Below are 22055 nucleotides of genomic sequence, written 5' to 3'. Positions count from 1 at the left end.
TTTCATTATTTGATGCTTTTACCTTTTATTATTGCCTAGCTTTGACGTCCTGTAATTCTGTTCTACAACTTTTTGTCTAACTTCTTGAGATGACATTCTATTTTCCTTCTAATGTATACACTGAAAGCTGTGAACTCTCCTTTACGTGCAGTTTCAGCTATATCCCACAAGTTTAGATATGTAGTATTCTCATTGATGTTTGTTTCAAAACGCTTTCTAGCTCCCATTGTGATTGCGTCTGTGAACTCTGGATTATTTTGCAATGGACTGCTTACTTAGCAAACACATTTTGCTGTTGGTTTACAGTGTACCTGCACTGTGGCAGGAAACAGTTTCTGCAGGACAGGCTTGAATATTTTTGAGACTTGCTTTACGGTCCAGCACATGTAATGCCCAGGTTCATCAGCTTTTGTTAATGTTCCAAGGGCTTAGGAAGAATGCACTTACTGAGTGTGGCATCACATGAAAGTCCATTTGGGAGAGAGAGTCATCAACACACCCAGTATGATTAAGTACCAACTAAAGACAAAATGTGAAAGGCAGGTGTGTACCTGGCAGAATCTAATAAAGCCCTAATCCCCTACAGCCAGAAGGCAGACATGGCAGAGCCCCACTCAGGACTTGTAAAGGTGAGCAGAGCCTCCAATAAGTGGAATTCTCAGCTCCACCAGGCTTCCCATGTTGCGGGAGGAAAACAAGGTGTTCCTGGGGCAAGCTGGCTGGGCAGCCAGCAAGGGTATTGCTTAATTTACACAGTTTTAAAGAATCAAGGCCTAGGGCAGCAACCCCCATAAAGTCATGATCCTTTGTCCAATTTGAAAAATGTGAGCCATTTCTCAAACCTGGAAGCCACTAATTAAAGGAACGCCAGAACAGAATTAGGCAGGTCCCTGTAACACCAAGGCATGTGTCATCAATAGTCATTTCCCCAGTCTTTCTCCATAGGGCTGTTGGCCACTTGCTTGGGAAGTAGTGTGTTAAGGAAAGGGGAGTGCCCAGAGCTTTCTGGTTTTGTTGAACTTAGGGTATGAATGGACACTATCTGTGGACCCAAAGCACTACCACGTTCTCCCTATAAAGAGGGGGCGTATGGAAGCCAGGTTATGAAGGGAGTCCTGGCCCCAGTCTAGCTCACAACAGATCCACAGATCCACCCATGGTCATTTCCCTAGTTCCCAAATATATACATGAAATGACTGGCAGAACCCTCACATTGGTTCCTTCACTCACTAGGTAAGAGCTACTAAGCTGGAAAAGTCAAGGAGAAGCCCGTGGCACAGTCTCCTTCCCCCAACTCAAACCAAGACGGTTAGTGAAAAACAATGCCACATCAGGGAAGAAACAGCCCAGACTGGTACCATCCTCGAAGACTTCAAAAAAGGTGAAAGTGGTAGTCCCTGTCATACCCAAGTTAACTCATACCAGTCCGGTCCTACAAAGTTCAGATGGATCACGGTGATGACAGTGAGCTACCACAAACTTAACTAAGAAGCAGCGCCATTCACAGCTGCTGTGCCAGATGTGGTACCTTTGCTAGAGTACAGTAACATCCCCCCAGGACGCAGTGTGCACACACTGATCTAGGAATGCCTTCTTTTCCATTCCTATCAGAAAGATGAAACTCAGTTCACTCTCACATAGGCTAGGCAGTAGTGTACGTTTGTAGTCCTGCCCCAGGCCTCGTTAACCCTCCCACCCTCCAGCAAAGTAGTCCCAGAGGGCCTGTATGATCTGGTTCAACTCAGAACATCACAGTGGCTCATTATACCTTTAACATCAGGCTAACTGGAGCAGATGAGCAAGAAGCGGAAAGTACGCCGGAGGCCTTGGCACACCACACGCACTCTGGAGGGTGCGAGACAGAACCTAGAGAGACTCAGTGGCCTGCCCCATCGGCAAAGTTTTAGGAGTCAAACATCCCTTCCAAAGAAAGGGACAAATTATTTTAACTCACAACTCTTGTCTGTCAGACAGAAGCCAATGGCTGGTAGGCCTCTTTGGGTTTGTGAAAGTTGTCAGGTTCAAAACGGAGTCACTATGTTAAAAACCCTGATCAACAGAGCTAGGGAAGGTTGGGAAGGCAGGGTTCAAATGCCTGATAACAAGACTTATTACAAAAGACTGGAAAACTACAACCTTGCACAAAGGCCAAACAACCTTACACACATACGCAAATTACTTCTGCGAGGACATCTGCCTAGCAACTGCCTGTCCAGCCTCAGAATCATGCCACCCTTGTTATTGATCCTTGTAGCCAAGAAAAATTATCTCAAAACGATTATGTAATCATATTCATTTTTCCATTAGAAACCTTTATCTTCCACTACTTCCCTGAATATGCACATAGTTTACCATAATGTGTATCCCATCGCAATGCCTATTCCTGAATAAATACCATTTTCTTTTGGAGAGTCTCCCTCCCTATTTGTTATTTAGGATGACATAAATGGTGTCAGAAGTGGGATGTGGAGAAGGATCACCTGTGGAAAGAATCATCAATTCTTAGAACTGGTATGAGGCACTCAACTGAGCCCTTTGAGCTCTCTGCTTCCATGACTCGCCTCTTCTGCCCTTGAAAGTCTCCTCTCAAACCAAGCCTCCCATTTTTTGTTAGAAGCTCTTTTTTACTTCATTTGGGATCTGAGTTAATAAAGGACCTTAATAAAGGACCTTGCATCTGTCTCGGATGATAAAAGACCTTTTGTCTCTTCTGGCAAGCCCCTTCTGGTATAAGGACAATGTCCCTCTGGTTACTACAGAATTTATATTCTGTCTGGTTCTGCACACCCGGTTTAATGTTTTGTTTGGACTGCATGCCTGGCTTAAAATTTCTGTGAACACACTTATTTTTTGTTTTATTTTGATTTGCTTACACACATCTGTATATGATTTGGCTCTTTTTTCCCTTGCTTGATTCTGGCCATGATCTGAGAGCAAAAATAAAGATTCTAAATAATGGGTATGGGATGGCCAATTAACAAGGGCAGTCAGCACCACATAAGGCACCAGTCTAAACTCCCTGACAGGAATTATAGGATTTTCTTTGCTCTTGAGAGATTAATAAGAAATGAAATGGGATTCTTAAACATTGAGGCACACCAAGTCTTCTAGGACTCTGGCCAGCTATACTGTGGTCCGTTCTCGTGTGGTGATGGGCAAACTACATCAGGAAAAACGCAGCACTGGACAGCCATTTTCTGTCTAAGCTTGTCAAAAACTGCAACTAACTACAGGGTTAACTCTCCATCTCTTTTTTCTGCCAACTTTGAATCTGATGACTTTTCTGCCAGCATTAAGATAAACTCATTGCTTATGGAAACTAAGATTTTCTTTTAAGTGTTAAAGGGCTTTCAAACTAATGGCTTTATAAATTATGCCAAATCTATGGCAACCAACGATGCAGACACCTTTTGGAAATGTAAATTTAGGTTTGTCTAACAATTGCTTAGGGTGATGAAAAAGCTAATTGAAAAATCGATATTCTAAAAAAAAAACTTTATAAATGTTTATATAAGCTAAGGGCTGTCAGATCAAACAGGTTAAAACCTTAAGCTCAGAGCAATACTAAAAGGTATCTCTGTCTGACATAAAAATTATTTTGTCTGACACTTAAGAGCCAGAAAAAGCAAACAAACAAAAAGATTTGTTACTAATTCAAGGCAACCTGAAAATTTTGTTGTTTTTTTTTAATACAATTTAGCCAGGCCTAGCTAAAATGTAAACATTTGAATATTCAACCCTAAATTCAATTGAATCTGAAAAAAGGATTAAAAGGTTTTTAAAAGTCAAACTGCTATGAAAACTGCTTTATCCATAATTCTGGTCCACAGCCTTCATTAATTACTTATCAGGGTAAACAGAACTTAGCCACAGATAAAAGTTCCGTTTTGTCAAAAATATAATTTGATCCAACTATATTTTATAAACCAGTGAATTTGTATTACTATGTTTTTCTGTTTCATGACCAAAATTCTAAAATGAAAGCCATAAGATCTTTATTTGTGTCTGTATTTGCTTTTATGTATGTTTATACATATTGTATGTTACATCTACATGATAAAATCTGACATAGTTAGCCAGAAATCCCTTAAGAAATTCTATTTGGATTGGCTTAAACAAGCACTCATGTAAAATATATAGTAATTAACCCAAATGCTTTTTAGTTCGTGTGACTTAAATAAATCTTTTTTGTTTTTTTTGTTTTTTGTTTTTTTGAGATAGGTTATTTCTCTGTCACCCAGGCTGGGGTGCAGTGGGACAAACATGGCTCACTGTGGCTTCAACCTCCTGGGCTCCAGTGATCCTTCCACCTCAGCCTCTTGAGTAGCTGGGACTACAGGTGTGTACCATCATACCTGCCTAATTTTTTTATTTTTTGTAGAGATGGGATCTTGCCATGTTGCCCAGGCTGGTCTCAAACTCCTGGGCTCAAGCAATCCTCTTGCCTCAGCCTCCCAAAGTGCTGGGATTATAGGCATGAGCCACCACACCCAGCTGACTTAAGTAAATCTTGGATAAATAAGTTGGTTTTAAATTTGTTGATAAAATAAAAATAGAAGTGTCTTCAAAACTGTCAGCATACATTTTTGCCCAGCTTTACTGGTCAGAGAGGATTATATTTATCTCTACTAGATGTCTTAAGGTTATAAAAGTATAAATCCAGACTAAAGACACAATTATCTTTATTTGTATAACTTTTTAATGACTAAGACTAACACTGTTAGTTTAATCAAAATTGCTGTATCTTCTGTGTTATCAGCAAAATACCCCTATATTTAAGTTTCTCAGGTGAAAACCTGATACTCATAGGCTATACAAATGGTGAAAAGGGAAATAACTTGAAATGAAGACTAGCTTTTTCTATATCTCAGTTTTCATAAGTAACCTAGGTATAATTATTAAAAATAAATAAAGTACATAAACGTAGATGGGAAAGTGCTTATAGACTGTCATGTAATCTGAAATCTTAAAGTTATGCTATGTTAAATTAAATGATACTCATAAAATGTCTAAGTCATTTCCATATAAGATAAAGTACTAAAACATACATTGCTGAACACAAATGTAAGTTTGTTCTTGGCTTATTAAATTTTAGAGAAGGACTAAATATATTTTTGCCTGTTAATACACAAAGTAATTATGTAACGGGAAAACATGTTTCCAAAAATTATAAAATGGTTCTCATCTATAAAATACTGATTCCAAGGTTTTCACTAAAAATTACAGTTACTAAGAGTTAAAGTTCTTACATATATATATTTCAGTATACAAAGTATACGAAAAGTAAGGTATGTTTCTGATGAGAAAAATTATGAGAGGAATAAAAATGTGTTCTTTATTGAAAAAAAGAGTAATTTTGTCTAGTTTGGAGATTATTTAAAATTTGTTTCAAAATATGGATTTAGAAAGCAAAGAGAAAGAAACCACTAAGTAGGAGAGCGAGAGATGTGAAGAAAGTTATAGGTATGTAGATGTATCTTAGTAAGGAAGGTTAAAAACAAAAATGAATAATTTTGTATGACAAAGACTCCTGTGTGGTAAATTTTTGTCCTAAAGTAAAATGCCTGTTGTTTTAAGAAAGAGGAAGTACAGAACAAAGCAGAAAGGCTTAAGGATGTCATCGAAGGCCTATATTGGTCATAAAAGTCTGTGAAAGATAAATTTACGAAATAAATTTTATATGATTAAGTTGGTTATAATTAGAAGAAAATTATGTGTAAGTCCTTCTAAAGACCAAACTTTAATATTAAAAATACACTAATACAAAGCAAAAAACGTGGTCGCTTATGTTAGAACAACAGGGTTTTCCTGAAGTATTGATCGGCTATTAGTAAAACTGCAGGACGTTTTGATTTTTAATTCTGAAGTATGTTTATAAAACAAGCTTCTGAACTGCAGCTTTTTTCTATTTTAGTCTCCATCTAATTTCCCTCGTATGAGGTTAGAAATGCTGTCTTCATTTAGAATGGCAATTTCATTTCTCCAGGCAGGGTCTTCCTCTCCAGGTGAATCTGACAGCCTCGGCTTGGGCTTGGCCTTGCTGCGTGTGACCTGCTGGCCGCATATCACTGCCTTCCACTCTCTCCCCTTGAGAAGCTGCAGCTGCTTGCTTGGCTAGGGCAAGGACTCTTTCCTTCAACTTTTTTGTCAGCTCCTGGAACTTTTTTCTCCAGTTTTAACTGTGTTACTATGGTCTGATGCACTGTTTTCCGCCTGTATAACTCGATTCTGTACATTCGGCTTTTCTGGATGTGTCTGAATTGTTCCATGGAACCAGAAAACTTCCCATACTGTGACTTAGAGCCCTGTACTGCCCTGCTCAAGCCACTAACTGTCACATTGACATTCCTCTATAATACGGTGCGCACTCGTAATACTGGACACCCTCTTCCTATGTCTCATTAAATTCAAGTACTTTTCATCAGCTTCTACTTCCAGGCAAACCAAACGGGCTTCCCATGAGGAGAAGCAATCACACCACAGGAGGTTTTTCTTTACCTTTTTGGTAACTGGCCTACGAAACAAAGATTTTATGTTTTATCAAGATAATTTCCTGTGTTGTCTTTATTAAGTTTTTTATTTTGTAGGAAAACTGAGCTTTGAGTGGGTTGTTTGTTTACATTCATGGAACTCCCTGTGTTGCTTCTGAAGTCTTTCTCATTCTGGTTAAATGAATGACTATTATCTAATAGTGACCTGTGCTCCTGTTTTGATCAGGCGTTTTAAATCTTTTGGCATCTTTGATGGGCTTCCCCAAGATATAAATTCTAAATTAAATCTTTTTGACCCATAATTAGCTTTAGTATTTTCCAGTCAAGCTTCTGGAGAGCCTCAAAGGACGTATCTCTCATCTTACAAAGACTTATCTGGTACGTCTGGTAAATGATTAGGCTTATCTGGTAAATTGTATAAAAAACACTGTAAAATGATACGTGATGCTAGACCTTCTTTCAGTTACATTTATGGGTGTGTTTTTATAGGAATGTTCCAAAATTGTATAAAACTCTCAGAAACCTAATATGCCATAACTCTAGTTATTATGTTGTATGCTACAGAAATAGCCAGATTTCCTTGTCAATTGCTAATTATAATGAACTTCCACCAGATTTTAAACCATAGCTATTCTGTTTTCCTTATCCATTGTTATTGTTTTGATTTTTCTCTAAAAGCATTTGCAATCAGATTCATGGAAAAGACTCTAAGAAGCACTCTTAAATACAGGTTTCTAATAACTTTAAGATCGACAGACTAACTGAAAATTCTTCAGAACTCTAATAAGGAAACAGATGAATTTGTGAAACTACTTATCAAGATCAAGCAGAACAAAAATTAATTACATGAGATTAAATAACTGATGAGATGTTTTTATGACTTTTATTTGAAACATTGTTGGTTCTTTACTTAAATGTTTTGTTTTCCAGATCTAAGGATGTTTTCTTTCTTTCTTTTTTTGAGACAGAGTCTCACTCTGTTGCCTAGGCTGGAGTGCAGTGGCGGGATCTGGGCTCACTGCAAACTCCGCCTCCCAGGATCACGCCATTCTCCGGCCTCACCCTCCCGAGTAGCTGAGAATACAGGCGCCCACCACCACGCCCGGCTAATTTTTTGTATTTTTAGTAGAGACGGGGTCTCACCACGTTAGCCAGGATGGTCTCGATCTCCTGACCTTGTGATCCGCCCACCTCAGCCTCCCAAAGTGCTGGGATTATAGGCGTGAGCCACCGTGCCTGGCCAGAACGTTATCTTTCTTAAACTGTTTATAACTTACAGCAATCTGGTAAAGTATACTTCTGTGAAAACAAAAGTAAAAACATTTGCTTTTTCTCCCTACTCGATCCCTCCAAAATTTGGAAACTGTTCACATGTATTCTTATGGCAATGTGGTTATTTACAAAAAAAAAAAAATCTGTTCCCTCTTTGTAGCAGGATACAACTGAGACCAGTGGTTCTGTTCCCAATGCCTTGTCTGGAATCTCAAATTTGAGAACGTGCATAGAATACCCTGCTTCAAGGGTTCCTAGACTTACAGCGGGTAAGTAAAAACTGTCACTTCGTATCAGGCCCAGAAACCTTAAGACTGTAGGCAAAATCTATAGTCTGCCTTGGTTTGGCTTCCCAGCCTCAGGAGGTTGTTAAAATCGGAGTGATTTTTTTCTTGTGTGATCAATGTAGAGAGAAGCAGCCATGTTTCTGAAGAAAAGCTGCAATACTCCTGTTATTAGACTGGAGCCCTGTGCACTGTTTCCAAGCTCCTCAATTCTTCCAGCTTCCTCCCATCCAACTTTCTCCCATAGAATCACTAAAAGCAGAGAACTACTCTATTCCTGAAGCCCTATAAGCTGAAACTAAATGTTAAGGGACAAAATCCCATTCCTGATGCGTGGGCCACACCAAGAGTTCACCAAACCACTGATGCCACAACCAGAGACACTTAGACCACAAGACAGGACTAGAAGCCGACAGCTTCATGCTGTGGGCAGCTTCTCCAAGGCACTGGAATAAGAGTCCATATTATAAAGACACATTTACCCCTCTTAATGCCTACCTTTTTGACTCGGCAGAATAATGGTGTAATCGAAATTTCACAATCAGTAGCTTCTGCTGGGAACTAGATAGAACCCTAAGAGATCCTTGAGTCCCCCTAGTGGGTGACTTTGGGAACATCCCTAATACAACTGGTGCTCACTCTGCTTTAATCCAACTCAGTCATGGGACACTAGATGATAAAATTGCTCTAAATTATCCATTGCGTAAAGAAGGAAATGTCTGTGCTATTGCTGATACTACCTGCTATACCTGGATAAATTCTTCTGGGAAAATTAAGGACCATATACCCAAAATAAGAAAACAGGTCGGGGCATGGTGGCTCATGCCTGTAATCTCAGCAGAGGCGGGAAGACAGATTGAGCCCAGGAATTCAAGATCTGCCCGGGCAACATGAGAAACCCCATTCTCCACAAAAAGGAAAAAGTACACACACACCAAAAAAGGAAACAGGCCATATATTATAAAAAGTCTCACCCAATTCCCTATGGTCATTTGATTTATTCAACTGGTTGTCTTTAAGCCTATGTTCATGACTCAAAACATTATGCAAACTAGGATTGTCATATTATTATTAATTTCACTCTGCATTTTCCCTTTATAAATTTTTTATCTGTTGCTTAAGTCTCTGCAGAAGTACAACTCCTAACAGAATCGTGCTGGCCCAGCGCGTTGAGATGATGCCAACACCCATGGAACAGACAAAACCGTACTTAACAGTGGACTCAGGTAGACTGCGCCTGAGGGCCACTCCCTCCACACCTCCCTGGTTGCTCAAATGTGGCTAAATGAGCTCTGACACTGACTCCTGGTCACCAGTCACTTCCTGATGATGTGGAACCAGACCACACCAAACTGGGACAGCTCCATCCCAGCACCAAGGGGCAATCAAAGCCTGACTGCAGGATGACTGGTCAGCTATGCTTTTGGAGAAAGATCTCAATTAAAAGGGGGAAATGTGAAAGTTGTCAGAAAGAAAATGGAGTCACTTGTATTAAAAACCCTAACAAAGTGTTACAGAGCCAGAGAAGGCCAGGAAGGGAGGGTTCTCATGCTCATAGACCTGATAACAAATCCATCACAAAAGACTGCAAAACCACAACCTTGCACACAGGCCATCTCAGCCTCACATACAAAAATATTCCTCTGAGGACATCTGTCCCGCAACTGCCTGTCCAACCTTGGACTGGTCCCATCCTTGTAAGATAATTATCTCAAAACAATCCTGTGATCCTCCTCATTTTTCCTTGAAAAACTGCTGTCTTTCTTGACCTCCCTGAATATTCATAGTTTACTACAGCATGCATATTCTCATTGCAATGCCTATTCCCAAATATTAATAAATATCGTTTTCTTACAGAGAGCCTTCCTCCGTGTTATTCAGGACGATGGGCTCAAGAGGCAAACCACCCCTCACTTGGGAAGGCTGCTCAGATCCCTCTCCAAGGAGTCATGGAAGGCAGCCAGCAGCGAGCAGGGCCCACACAGAAAAGGACAGGCAGCCCTGCCACCTGGGCCATCCTCCTTGGCCCCAGTAAGAGATTTACAGCCAGGAAGTTTAAGGTGTGGGGCAAAGACAGCAGGGACCACAAGCCATGTGGAAAGCAGCAGGGCCCTGGTGGAGATGGAGCATCCACTGGGGACACCCAGTGATTAGACGCTGGAGCTGTCTATCAGGAGCATGGCACTGACCCTGGCATGGGGCACACCCAGCAGCAATCCACCATGAGATAGAAGTTTACACCCAGCAGGGAAGGGGCAGGTTGTGCAGAGCACGTGGCCCAGACCCACATATCATTCACCAGGGCACCAGCACAGCTCTGTCAGCCCAAACCTAGGGCCACACAGTGAGTTCCTCATGACCAACAGAAAAGGAGGAAAATGAACAGGACTTGTGCACAGATGGTCAGCTCAGCATGGCAGTATGAGCCAAAAATGGTCCCGGGGTCCTCAGCCTCAAGCTAGGCCCTGCCTTAGGTAGCACACACCCCTTTTGAGTCTTCATCAGCAGCATGAGCACCCCATTGCAGCCGATTCTGATTGCTGCCCGCCCAGATACAGCACGCTAGCCCTGACCTGCCCTCGAGTTCCCCGGAGAGACCAAAGCTAAACAGGCCATCCAAGGGCAGATTCCTATTTGCAGCCACAACGTGCCAATCCCCAGGACCCCTGCCATCCCTGAAGCCACCTTTTCTCCTGGAAGAGCAGGAGCTGGAGCAGTCACTGTGGACGGAGTCTGGCCACACCGCTCATGCAGATCCTTCCCAGCTAAGAACACTCTCGCCCGTCCCACACGCGCTGAAGGAGACATGTACAAGAATGCCGTAAGGGCAGACTCTCTCCCACTCCCACTGAGTGTCTATCGATAGCGGAAGGCATCAATCATCGTCATATACTCATAGCAGAATGCCATACAACAAGTAAAAGGACTGGACTGAAAGTCCAGGAGTAAATCTTGAAAACATGACACATGTTCTAGAATAAGACATTAATAAGAAGACATAGAATACAGCTGCACCTGTATAAAATTTTAAAACATGCCAAATGAGACAGTCAAAGGATCAGTGGTTGTCAGAGTTCAACGGGAGGGTGCAGGGTAAACAGGTGGGGCATAGAGGATTTCCAGGGCGGCGGCTTTCTCGGTGATACACAGCGGTGGGTGCACGGCACGGACATTTGTCCAAACCCACAGAGAGGACAGCACGGGCAGGAACCCTCGTGTGAGCTGCGGACCTAAGCTAATAATCATATGTCTACACTGGCCTGTCAACTGTAACAAACACCCACACCAATGCAGGACGTAATGATCCCGACGGCGCATTTTTAACAAGTGGGTGGGGGCATAAGGGAACTCTCTGTACTTTCTGTAAACCTAAAACTGCTATAAAAAATAAAATCTTTTCATTGTTCTTTACAAAAGAAACACAGATAGACGAGCCACACAAAATGACACTTACCCATGTCTGTGGATCACGCCCCGTCTTTAAGGGGGCAATGACAGGCCCTACCTCGTAGAGTATTTGTGGGGATTAAACCAGCTCATTTCTAGAAGTGTTCACTGGAGTCTGGCACACAGAAGAGCACCCCAGAAAGCCCTGTGACAGCTCAGACACATTGCAGGGTAGAAAGGTTCCCAAATGTGCATGGGACGCTGTCCCCCAGAAAACAGGGGTTACCACTACAGAGGAGGAGGGGAGGGGACCACAGGGACTCAAAAAACAGCCAGACGTATCTGCAAGGTGGACTTGCATTTTTTAAAACTTGAAGGAGAAAAGAAGAAAAATGAAAATTAAATTACCTCAAGATCATCAAGGGAGCGAGTGATACTGAATCTCTTGGATCTCCCAAATGATCTCCGAGCAGACGTGCGTTGAGAAGGCTGAGTGAGTCCAGTTCCCCGCCCAAATTTTGAGCCCTAAACACGAAGAAAAAAGGCATCAGGTTATTCTTTTGCAAAGAGATGTTTAGTCTTGTCCAATGCATGGCATAGCAGAAAATCAAGGAATACTGTGGAACAAAGACTTTTTAAAAAGAGAGATTTAAAAGTCATCCCAGGGTAAATCTTAGGTATATTTTATACAAGAAAAACATGCAAAATTGAAAAAAAAACAGTCATCCCAGGATCGTCAAGTATTTGCTCTGCCAACTGTGTGCCTCTGACAAAGCCTCCACCTCTGTAAACACAGAACAGGATGACGGCAGCCCACCCACAAGGCTGTTACCCAGATCAAATGAAATCACGTGCAAGGGTGCTTGGAAAGTGGACACAGTACACTGAGAGTAAAGATGACTAGTATGATGATTAGTAAAGATGAAGGCAGGTTTTCAGCAAAGTCGTGCTTTTTCATAATTTTGTAAGCACTTTAGGAAATGAAAGAATCCCTAAGCATTCAGCTGGTGTCTGAAGACCCAACCAACTCCGGCGCAGGAAATAACTGGCTATTAAAACATCCTGTCTCTCCTCCTCCAGGAAATGACCAGAATTAATTCAATTCGACAAACATCTATGTTGTGCCCATCATTATGCTAGACACTTCCCCAGATGAGAAGCTGGCTCCAGCAAATCAGTCGCCACCTCTTAAAAACAAAAAGCATCACAGTTGGGAGCTCTGCTTTCCTGAGGACTTGGAATCCTAAGTGACCAATTTCAGGCTTGAAGGAAGGGAACCTGTTTATGTCAAGATTTTGAGGCTCTGCAGCTACTTTTGTCTCTCCACCTGCATAAGAGTCTTGTAGAAAACCTTGCCACAATTCCTTGAGAGTCCCTAGGGAAACCTACAGCATGCCTGCACCTTTCTGGAAGCAGATGGAGCAGGCCACCCTCCCGCCTCTCCCCTCTCCTTGACCACCACGCTGACACACCCCATCATGTCCTCAGACCCATTCCCGCCTGGGTCTCCCTGCACTGCGCTGCTCCTCCTCAACTGAAAAGTCCTTCCTACCCCACCCATTGTCACGGCCCAGCCCCACACCACCCCACACCCCGGGGCCTCTGCAGCCCCTACCCTCCGCCCACACCTCCATCCTCCACCCTCCCTTCTGTCCACACCCCCATCTCTCCACCCTCCCTCCCCCCACACCATCTCTCCACCCTTGTCCCCTCCCCACACCCTCATCTCTCCACCCTCCCCTCCGCCCACACCCCCATCTCTCCACCCTCCCTCCCCACACCCCCATCTCCCCTCCCCCCACACCCCCATCTCTCCACCCTCCCTCCCCCCACACCATCTCTCCACCCTTGTCCCCTCCCCACACCCTCATCTCTCCACCCTCCCCTCCGCCCACACCCCCATCTCTCCACCCTCCCTCCCCCCACACCCCCATCTCTCCACCCTTGTCCCCTCCCCGCCATACCCCCATCTCTCCACCCTCCCTCCCCCCGCACCCCCATCTCTACACCCTTGTCCCCTCCCCACATACCCCCATCTCTCCACCCTCCCCTCCGCCCACACCATCTCTCCACCCTCCCTCCCCCCGTACCCCCATCTCTCCACCCTTGTCCCCTCCTCCCCCATACCCCCATCTCTCCACCCTCCCTCCCCCCATACCCCATCTCTCTACCCTTGTCCCCTCCCCCCATACCCCCATCTCTCCACCCTTGTCCCCTCCCCACCGCACACACCCCCATCTCTCGACCCTTGTCCCTGCCCACACCCCCATCTCTCCACCCTCCCCTCCGCCCACAGCCCCTAAAGACGGGCAGAGGGGTGTCACTATCCTCTTGGCAGGTGAGAGGTCCAGCACCCAGGGGCTGTGGCTGCCGGGAACACGAGAGGATGCTCGGGGAGGGACGCCACCACTGGGCCCCCACCAGGCCGAGAGAAGGCTCTAAGGCTGTCATCCTGAAAGTGGCGATGCCCAGCAGAGGGCAGCCGGCAGGCAGAGGCCTAGAAGCACAGCGGCCAGGTGCCAGATGGACCGGCCAACACAGGTGTCAAGCACACTCCAAGCTGAGGCGCCACAGTTGCCAGCTCACTCCAAGGCACTAGTGGCACAACTGCTTGTTTTCAAACTAAGGAGCAGGCCCCCGTGCACGCCGTGCCTCCGAGGCTGGAGAACGGACTGCACTGGCCTGCACCGGCCTGCACCTGCCTGCACCTGCCTGCTGCTCCCATGGGGCTCAGCTCAGGCTCCCGCCAGCTCCTGCCTTCTGTAAATCAGCCTGTAAGACACTCTTTGGAGGGAACCTGTGGTCCCATTAGGACACAGATGTGGCTTCCTGGTGTCTCTGCTCCTGATGGCAGGCACCTTGAGTGTCCTGCCAGCGTGCTCTTCTGTGGTGACTGATAAATTGCCACCCCCGCTCCCTCCTGCTTAGGCTGGCGTCCGTGTCCACGCTCTGGGTCCACACCCCGGGCGCCCGCCTCATGGCCTTTGTGCATGTTCTTCCCTCCCCTGACCCCTCAACCCAAACAACCCCTCTTGTAAGAGACCTTTAAGCCCCCGTCTAAGTTAAGACTCCCCAGCGTCCTCTCTCCCAGTCTTTGGGTCTTTTCCTTCCCACCAGTGACACCGCTGTCAGCCATGAGGAATCTCCCCCAGGGGACTGCCATGGGACGACAGCAGCAGCGCCCTTCGCTTCGTCTGATGCTGTCTGAAAACTTGCTGCCCAGCACAGCGCCCGGCTCCTGGCAGGTGTGCGGCCCCGGCAGAGGGGAGGCCTGAGAAGGCGCTGGGCAGTGCTCATGAGACACACGACACGGAGGCCACAACACGGGGGACTGACTGCCCAACAATGGGGAGCGCAGGGCACCTGTACGGCATGCAGACGTGTGTTGCGGCAACAGCAATAACGGGAAATGTTCAGTCCACTGCTAAAGCAATGAGTGACTTTGTTCTCATTATAGATTTGCTATTCTGTATTTTCTGCTCTTGAGAAGGGTGGGGAATGAACCCATGGCTTTGTGAGATTAAGGCTGTCAGAATCAAAATGAATCACTTGTGTTAAAAACCCTAACAAACAGAGCTGGGGAGGGCCATGAAGGGAGGGCTCACACATTAGTGTGCCTGCGAAAAACAAATCCATCACAAAGATGTGCAAATCACAGCCATGCACACAGGCCATCACAGCCTCACTCAAAACACACTGTGAGGACATCTGCCCAGCAACCGCCCGCCCACCTCCAGCCTGGTATCATCCTTGGTGCTGATCCTTGTGGCAAGGATAATTATCTCAAAACAATCATGTGATCCTCATTTTTCCTTTAAAAGCCTTTGTCTTCTTTGGCCTCCCCAGCTATGCACTGTAGACCATGGCAAGTATCTGCCTACTCCAATGCCCTGCTCCCAGATAAACATCATTTCTTTCAGAGAGCCTCTCTCTGTTATTTAGATGGACAGTGATAAGAGAGTTTAATTTTTTTTTTCTTTTGAGACAGGATCTCACTCTGTCGCCCAGGCCGGAGGGAGAGGTATGATCATGGCTCACAGCAGCCGCGACCTCCCAGGCTCAAGTGATCCTCCCACCTCAGCCTCCTGAGTAGCTGGGACCACAGGCATGTGCCAACAGGCCCGGCTAATGTTTGTATTTTTTGTAGAGACTGGGTCTTGCTATGTTGCCCAGGCTGAGCTGAAACTCCTGGGCTCAAGCAATCACTTACCTCAGCATCCCAAAGTGCTGAGATTACAGGTGTGAGCCACCACACCTGGCAGCCCTGACCACGCCCCAGGTGAGCGGCCCTTCCACAGTCAGCCTTGCAACTTGTTCCCAGCACAGGCAAAAGAAAGGATGTCTGACGCCTGCCCACACGTGGATGCACTGTGCACTTTGGAGATGTAAAGGAGAAAGGAAAAGTCTAACAAGCAGACAGAAAACAATTCTTGCAAAGCACTAAATCAACTCATGGAACGAGGGCCAGTAACAGATGTGACAACTTCCACAGCAGGGAGAGACCAGCGTTTACTCGTGTTTCTCAAATTGACAAAGTTTTGTAAATTAATAAATTCAGATCATCACCGCCGATTTAGCACCCCTGCTGGTGTGACATAATCTTGACTCTTCCCCAAAGAGTACTAAACAGGGAAAACAACAATAAAAATGGCCTAAAAGACCACTTGGTTCAAACTCCAGCTTTTAAGTTGAGAAGACTCCTCACGACTGTCTGAGAAGACAGGTGGCCCCCAGGGCACCATCTCCACCTCCCAGCCTTCGGCCACCACACCCAGCACTCAAGGGCACTGAGTGGAGCAGACACCGCCCGCCCGCCAACCACAGAGGCCGGTCACCCTGGCCCCCAGGCATCCAGGATGCAGTGAGCCAGCCTGAGCCAGCCGGCTTCAGGGAGAACCAAGGGCCTCAGGCCAATCAACCTGCCTGGCTACAGGGTCCCAAGGGACGGCCGGTCAACCGGCATTACTACCACACACAGGCCCAGAAAAGCATCGGGTTCCCTCCAAAGTAAAACCGCTAGAAATGAGGGGAGGGGAAGGGTAGAACCTTAACCCCTGCTCAGGTACCAAATTTCTTGGCCACTCTCAGTGCCAACAATGAATTGCTGGGCACAGTGGCTCACGCCTGTAATCCCAACTCTTTGGGAGGCCGAGGCGGGTGGACCACCTGAGGTTGGGAGTTTGAGACCAGCCTGACCAACATGGAGAAACCCTGTCTCTACTAAAAATACAAAATTAGCCAGGCATGGTGGCACATGCCTGTAATCCCAGCTACTCAGAAGGCTGAGGCAGGAGAATCGCTTGAACCTGGGAGGCAGAGGTTGCCGTGAGCTGAGTTCACACCACTGCACTCCAGCCTGAGCAACAAGAGCAAAACTCTGTCTAAAACAAAACAGTGAATCATCCCATGCGACCATCAGTTCGGAGCAAAGAATCATTTTGGCGTAAGAACCATTCCAACGCCTCAATCCACAGATGAGAACTGGGAAGTCAGGGAAGCAAGTCCGTGCAAGGTCACACAGCTCATGGCTGACCTGAGACAACACCCAGCTCCTGCTGTACTACTGCACTGCCGTTTTTTATTAAACTTTCAAAATATTTATTCAATCTGATTTTAAAATCCAGATAACACAAAATTTACCAAGTTAGCTGGCTCAGTAGCATTAGGTGTGTTCGTACTGTTATGCAAGCATCACCACCGTCCTCCAGAATTTTTCATCTTCCCAGAACGAAGCTCTGCCCCCATTTAACACGCACTCTCCATTCCCCTCCCCCAGGCCCCCTCTCCCGCTTTCTGTCTTTATGAATTTGACTGCTCTAGGAATCCCACATAAGTGGAATTAGATAGTGTGTGTCCTTCTGTGACTGGCTGATTTTGCTGAGCATGGTGTCCTCAAGGGTCATCCATGTTGTAGCCTTCCTCTTCAAGGCTGAATAATATTCCGCGGTATGGATGGACCACACTGTGTTTATCCGTCACCTGATGATGGACATCTGGGTGGCTTCTGCCTTTCAGCTATTGCAAATAATACTGCTATGAACATGTGTATAAAGAGCATCTCCTCAAGACCTTGATTTCAATTCTTTGGGTATATACGTAGAAGTAGGACTGTGGGCCATGTGGTCATTGTACTGTTGGTTTTTTGAGGAGCCACCACACTGTTTCCCATGGTGGGTGCGGCACTTGGCATTCCCAGCAGTGCGCCAGGACTCCAACTCCTCCGCATCCTGCCCAACACGGGTCATTTTTCTCTCTTGTGATGGTGGTGGCAGTTGTTTTATAGTAGCCATCCCAAGGAGTGTAAGGTGCTGACTCACTGTGTGTTTAGTTGGCGCTGGCCTAATAATTGATGATGTTGGGCATCTTTCCACGTGCCCATTGACTACTTGTGTATCTTCTTTGGAGAAACGTCTATTCAAGTCCTTTGCTCATTTTTTAATTTTTCTTTTTCTTCATTTTTTTTTCTACTTCACAGTTTCACACTGGATCTTTGCCCATTTTTTTTTATTTTAATTTCTCTTTATTTTCTTTTCTACTTCACAGAATTCACACTGGACTTTTGCCCATTTTTTAACTGGGTTGTTTGTTCCTGTTGCTGAGTTATAGGAGTTCTCTATAGACTCTGCATATTAACTGCATATCAGATACATGGCTTGCAAATGTTTTCTCCCATTCTGTGGGTTGCCTTCATTCTGTGGGTTGCGTTTTTTAATGTGTAGAGTTTTTACATTTGATGTAATGCAATTTATGTATTTTTTTCTTTCGTTACCCACACTGCTAGAACTAAAAATTCCTAACCAATTCGGTCTAAATAAACACTAGTCCCTAAGCCCCAGTGGGGCAAGGACCATGTCCTGGTCACGACTACACCCCCACCCCTCCCACAGTGCTTGGTGCATACCAAGTACTCAATGAATACTTACTGAACAAATAGACTGTACACAAGAGAGTATGTAGCTTAAAAGAGAGACCAGATCATCCGAAGGTATTTCCAAAAAGAGGCAATATAGAGACTTACGAGGAGTCAGATTTCTAGCTCACATCTTCGCATCTCCTGCTATATTCTTCAGGGTTCACTCAGGAGACAGAAACCACCCGTAGTTCTAACAGAGAGTACTATGTAGAGAAGGGGTAGCTTGGTATTGAGGGATGGAAAGGCAGAGGGACTCTGAGATGCCATGGAGTAGCAACCTCGGGAAGCCGCTGCCACCCCAGGGCTGGGAAAATGCAGGGAAGCAGAAGGAATTACTCCAACTTGGCAGCTCACAGGAAAACAGCCGGTGGAGCTGGGGCCCAGACCACCGAGGGACAGGACATGGGGCTCCAGCCCTTGGGTTTTGTTTGTTTGTTTGTTTGCCTGCTTGTTTGTTGAGACAGCGTTTCACTCTGTCACCCAGGCTGGAGTCCAGTGGTGCGATCTGGGCTCACTGCAACCTCCACCTCCCAGATTCAAGCAATTCTCCTGCCTCAGTCTCCCAAGTAGCGGGGACTACAGGCACGCACCACCATGCCCGGATAATTTTTTTGTATTTTTAGTAGAGACGGGGTTTCACTATGTTGGCCAGGCTGGTCTCGAACTCCTGACCTCAAATGATCGGCCTGCCTTGGCCTCCCAAAGTGCTGGGATTACAGGTATGAGCCACCACGCCCGGCCCAGTTTTTTTCGAATTTTTAGAGTTGGGAGTCTCATTCTATCTCCCAGGCTGGAGCGCAGGGGTACGATCATAGTTCACTGTAACCTCCAATTCCTGGCCTCCCAATATGCTCGGATTACAGGTGTGAGCCATGGCACCCAGCCCATCCATTGTTTCTGAGGGGCCAGAAGGTTGGCGCAATGAGCTGGGCAAACTGCAAACTGAGAGGGGAAGGAACTGCCCCTGTGAGGGTGAAACGTTGCTATGGTGACACTCCTGCCTTGCCAGCTCCGGGGAGCGCCCCTGGGGACAGAGCCTGACAGGGATGCAGCTGTGAGCAGGAAGGTGATGCGGAGACCCTGTCGGTGTCATAGAGGGTGGGCTTAGGGCTGAGGGCAGTAAGCTGAGTAACCGGCACACCTGGTTAAATCTGTTACAAAACTCTGTGCGGCAGGAAGAATTCCAAGCCCAAAAGCAAAACTATTTTAGAATCAACAAAATTCCATTTCAAACATAAAACTAGACAAACTTACAGCAATGGTTACAGAGTAACGTGTAAGGAACCAAAGAAAGGTTTCTGGGTCATAGCAAAGCACGTTTTGTGAAAGGAAGGAGAAAAATGTGCACAAAGACTGGGTGTCCTATTCAAGAAAGAAAAAGATGAATATTACACATGAAAAGACATTTAAGTAGAGATATTAATTTAAATTATTCCAAAATATCTTAGGGCCTATGATGTCCCAAGCAATTGACTAGGACTAGAACCTTTAACGACAGAAACAAAGCACATAATTTCTTCACCGGTAAAGGAGGTGGGTGTGGACTAAGGAAATAAACCAACCAGGCTTGAAATCAAAACAAAACAAAACATAAGGCAAGAAAGCAGGGAGGGAGAACCTAGAAAAAGTGGATTCACAGGAAGAATGCAGTAATATCCCAGAGCCAAGACTCAATGTGCCAGTCACCCAACACATCAGTGACCCGCATCTGCCTGATCTTCTTCTTGAGCTGTCAGAACAATCTGCCACTTATAGTAACAATTCGAAAACAGAAATGGAAAAGTTTAAATAAAAAGACGAGTGCTGACTCAGAAAAGGCTGCTTTCACCAGATTAATAATAGACAAAACAGGCTTTATCCCTAATTTTAAAATTTTTAAATAAAAAGTTATTGAAATCCTCTGGAGGGAGGATAAAAATAAAATATAAGATTCAATATACGAGGAAAAGGAGAAGAAAGGGAGGGAAAAGAGAAGGAAGAGGAATAGAAAAGTTCTACCATTAATTTTTTGTTTTGTGAGACTACAGTAATCTTGATACCAAAACTCGACAAAGATAATGAGAAGGGAAAGTACGAGATAGTCTCACTCAAACACAGACTTTAAAATTATACAAAAATAGTAGCAAACCAAATACATCAGTGTATAAAAAATGATCATAAGTTAGGTTTATCTCAGGAATGCAAGTATGGTCTATTATTTGAAAATCAATCATTGTAATTTGCCATGTTAGCATCAAAAGGCAGAAACATGATCTCAATGAATGCAAAATAACAAAGAAAACAGCTAAAATTTAACACCTATTCATGAAAACAAATATTAACAAGTAGTAACGAAGTGAACTCTCTTAACCTTAATAGGGTAGCTAGATATAAAAAGCAACTAGTCAATTATACTTCCACATATCATAAGAGCTGGCATGCATAATTTATTCTATTTTAATTCCTTTTTCAACCAGCTTCCTCAGGTTGAAGCATTTACAATTTTTAAAAGGTACCATTTATAATGGCAAATAAAATTATAAGGTACCAAGAAATAAATCTAGCTAGAGAATAAATTTAATTAAAGATGTTTATGAAGGAAATTACAAAGTTTTACTGAAATAAGCCAAAATGAGAGAGAAGAGAGATACTATTTTCATGGATAGGAAGGCTTGATCTCCTAAAGATATCAATTCCCTCAAACTGAGCTACAGATTAAAACACAAAATATCAATAGCATTTCGGGGAATTTGTAAACTGGTTGTAGAATCTACATAAAACAGCGAGGCCCAAGCACAGACAAGAAAACCTGCCCTAGAAGACAGAAAGACGTATTATAAAGCTATAGTAATTTTTTAAAGTATAGGTGGGGATACTGACTAGGAAGGAACACAGAACTAAGAAACAGACCCACACGCACATGAACACATGATCCATGACAGAGGGAGCACTGCTGATCCACGTGGAAGGACGAGATTAGTGCTAGAACCACTGGTTACCCACAGAGAAAAAAGTTAACTTTCGTCTCACCTGATTCTTTTCATAAACATTAACTCCAAGAAACTTTAAGGGGAAAAAGGGAGAAAATCTGTTTTGACCTCAAGTAGTAATAAATGTATTAAATAAGACACAGACCGGGTGCAGTGGCTCACGCCTGTAATCCCGGCACTTTGGGAGGCCAAGGCGGGAGAGGATCACTTGAGGTCAAGAGTTTGAGACCAGGCCGGGCACGGTAGCTCACGCCTGTAATCCCAGCACTTTGGGAGGCCGAGGCGGGTGGATCACGAGGTCAGGAGATCGAGACCATCCTGGGTAACACGGTGAAACCCCGTCTCTACTAAAAATACAAAAAATTAGCCGGGCAAGGTGGCAGGCGCCTGTAATCCCAGCTACGCGGGAGGCTGAGGCAGGAGAATGGCGTGAACCCTGGGGGACGGAGCCTGCAGTGAGCCGAGATCGCGCCACTGCACTCCAGCCTGGGAGACGGTGAGACTCCGTCTCAAAAAAAAAAAAAAAAAGAGTTTGAGACCAGCCTGACCAACATGGTGAAACCCTGTCTCTACTAAAAATATAAAAATTAGCCAGGTGTGGTGGCATGTGCCCGTAATCCCAGCTACTCGGGAGGCTGAGGCAGCAGAATCGCTTGAACCCAGGGAGGCGGAGGTTGCAGTGAGCCGAGATCGCACCACTGCACTCCAGCCTGGGTGACAAAGTGAGACTCCATCTCAA

General features: G+C 45.0%; 1 protein-coding gene across 14 annotated transcripts in view; it reads right to left on the bottom strand.

The window, feature by feature from the left end:
- Positions 1–22055, bottom strand: part of RGS12 (regulator of G protein signaling 12) — a 154023-nt gene that overhangs the window by 85018 nt on the left and 46950 nt on the right. For all 14 annotated transcript variants that reach the window (NM_001394155.1, NM_001394154.1, XM_011513543.3 and 11 more), the window contains one exon: positions 11843–11959. In NM_001394155.1, the coding sequence (NP_001381084.1) occupies positions 11843–11959 (117 nt within the window). The remainder of the gene's footprint in view (positions 1–11842; positions 11960–22055) is intronic.

Source organism: Homo sapiens, chromosome 4 (assembly GCF_000001405.40).
Source record: "Homo sapiens chromosome 4, GRCh38.p14 Primary Assembly".
NCBI classification, from domain to species: Eukaryota; Metazoa; Chordata; class Mammalia; order Primates; family Hominidae; genus Homo; species Homo sapiens.
This window is presented reverse-complemented; position numbering and strand designations above follow the sequence as displayed.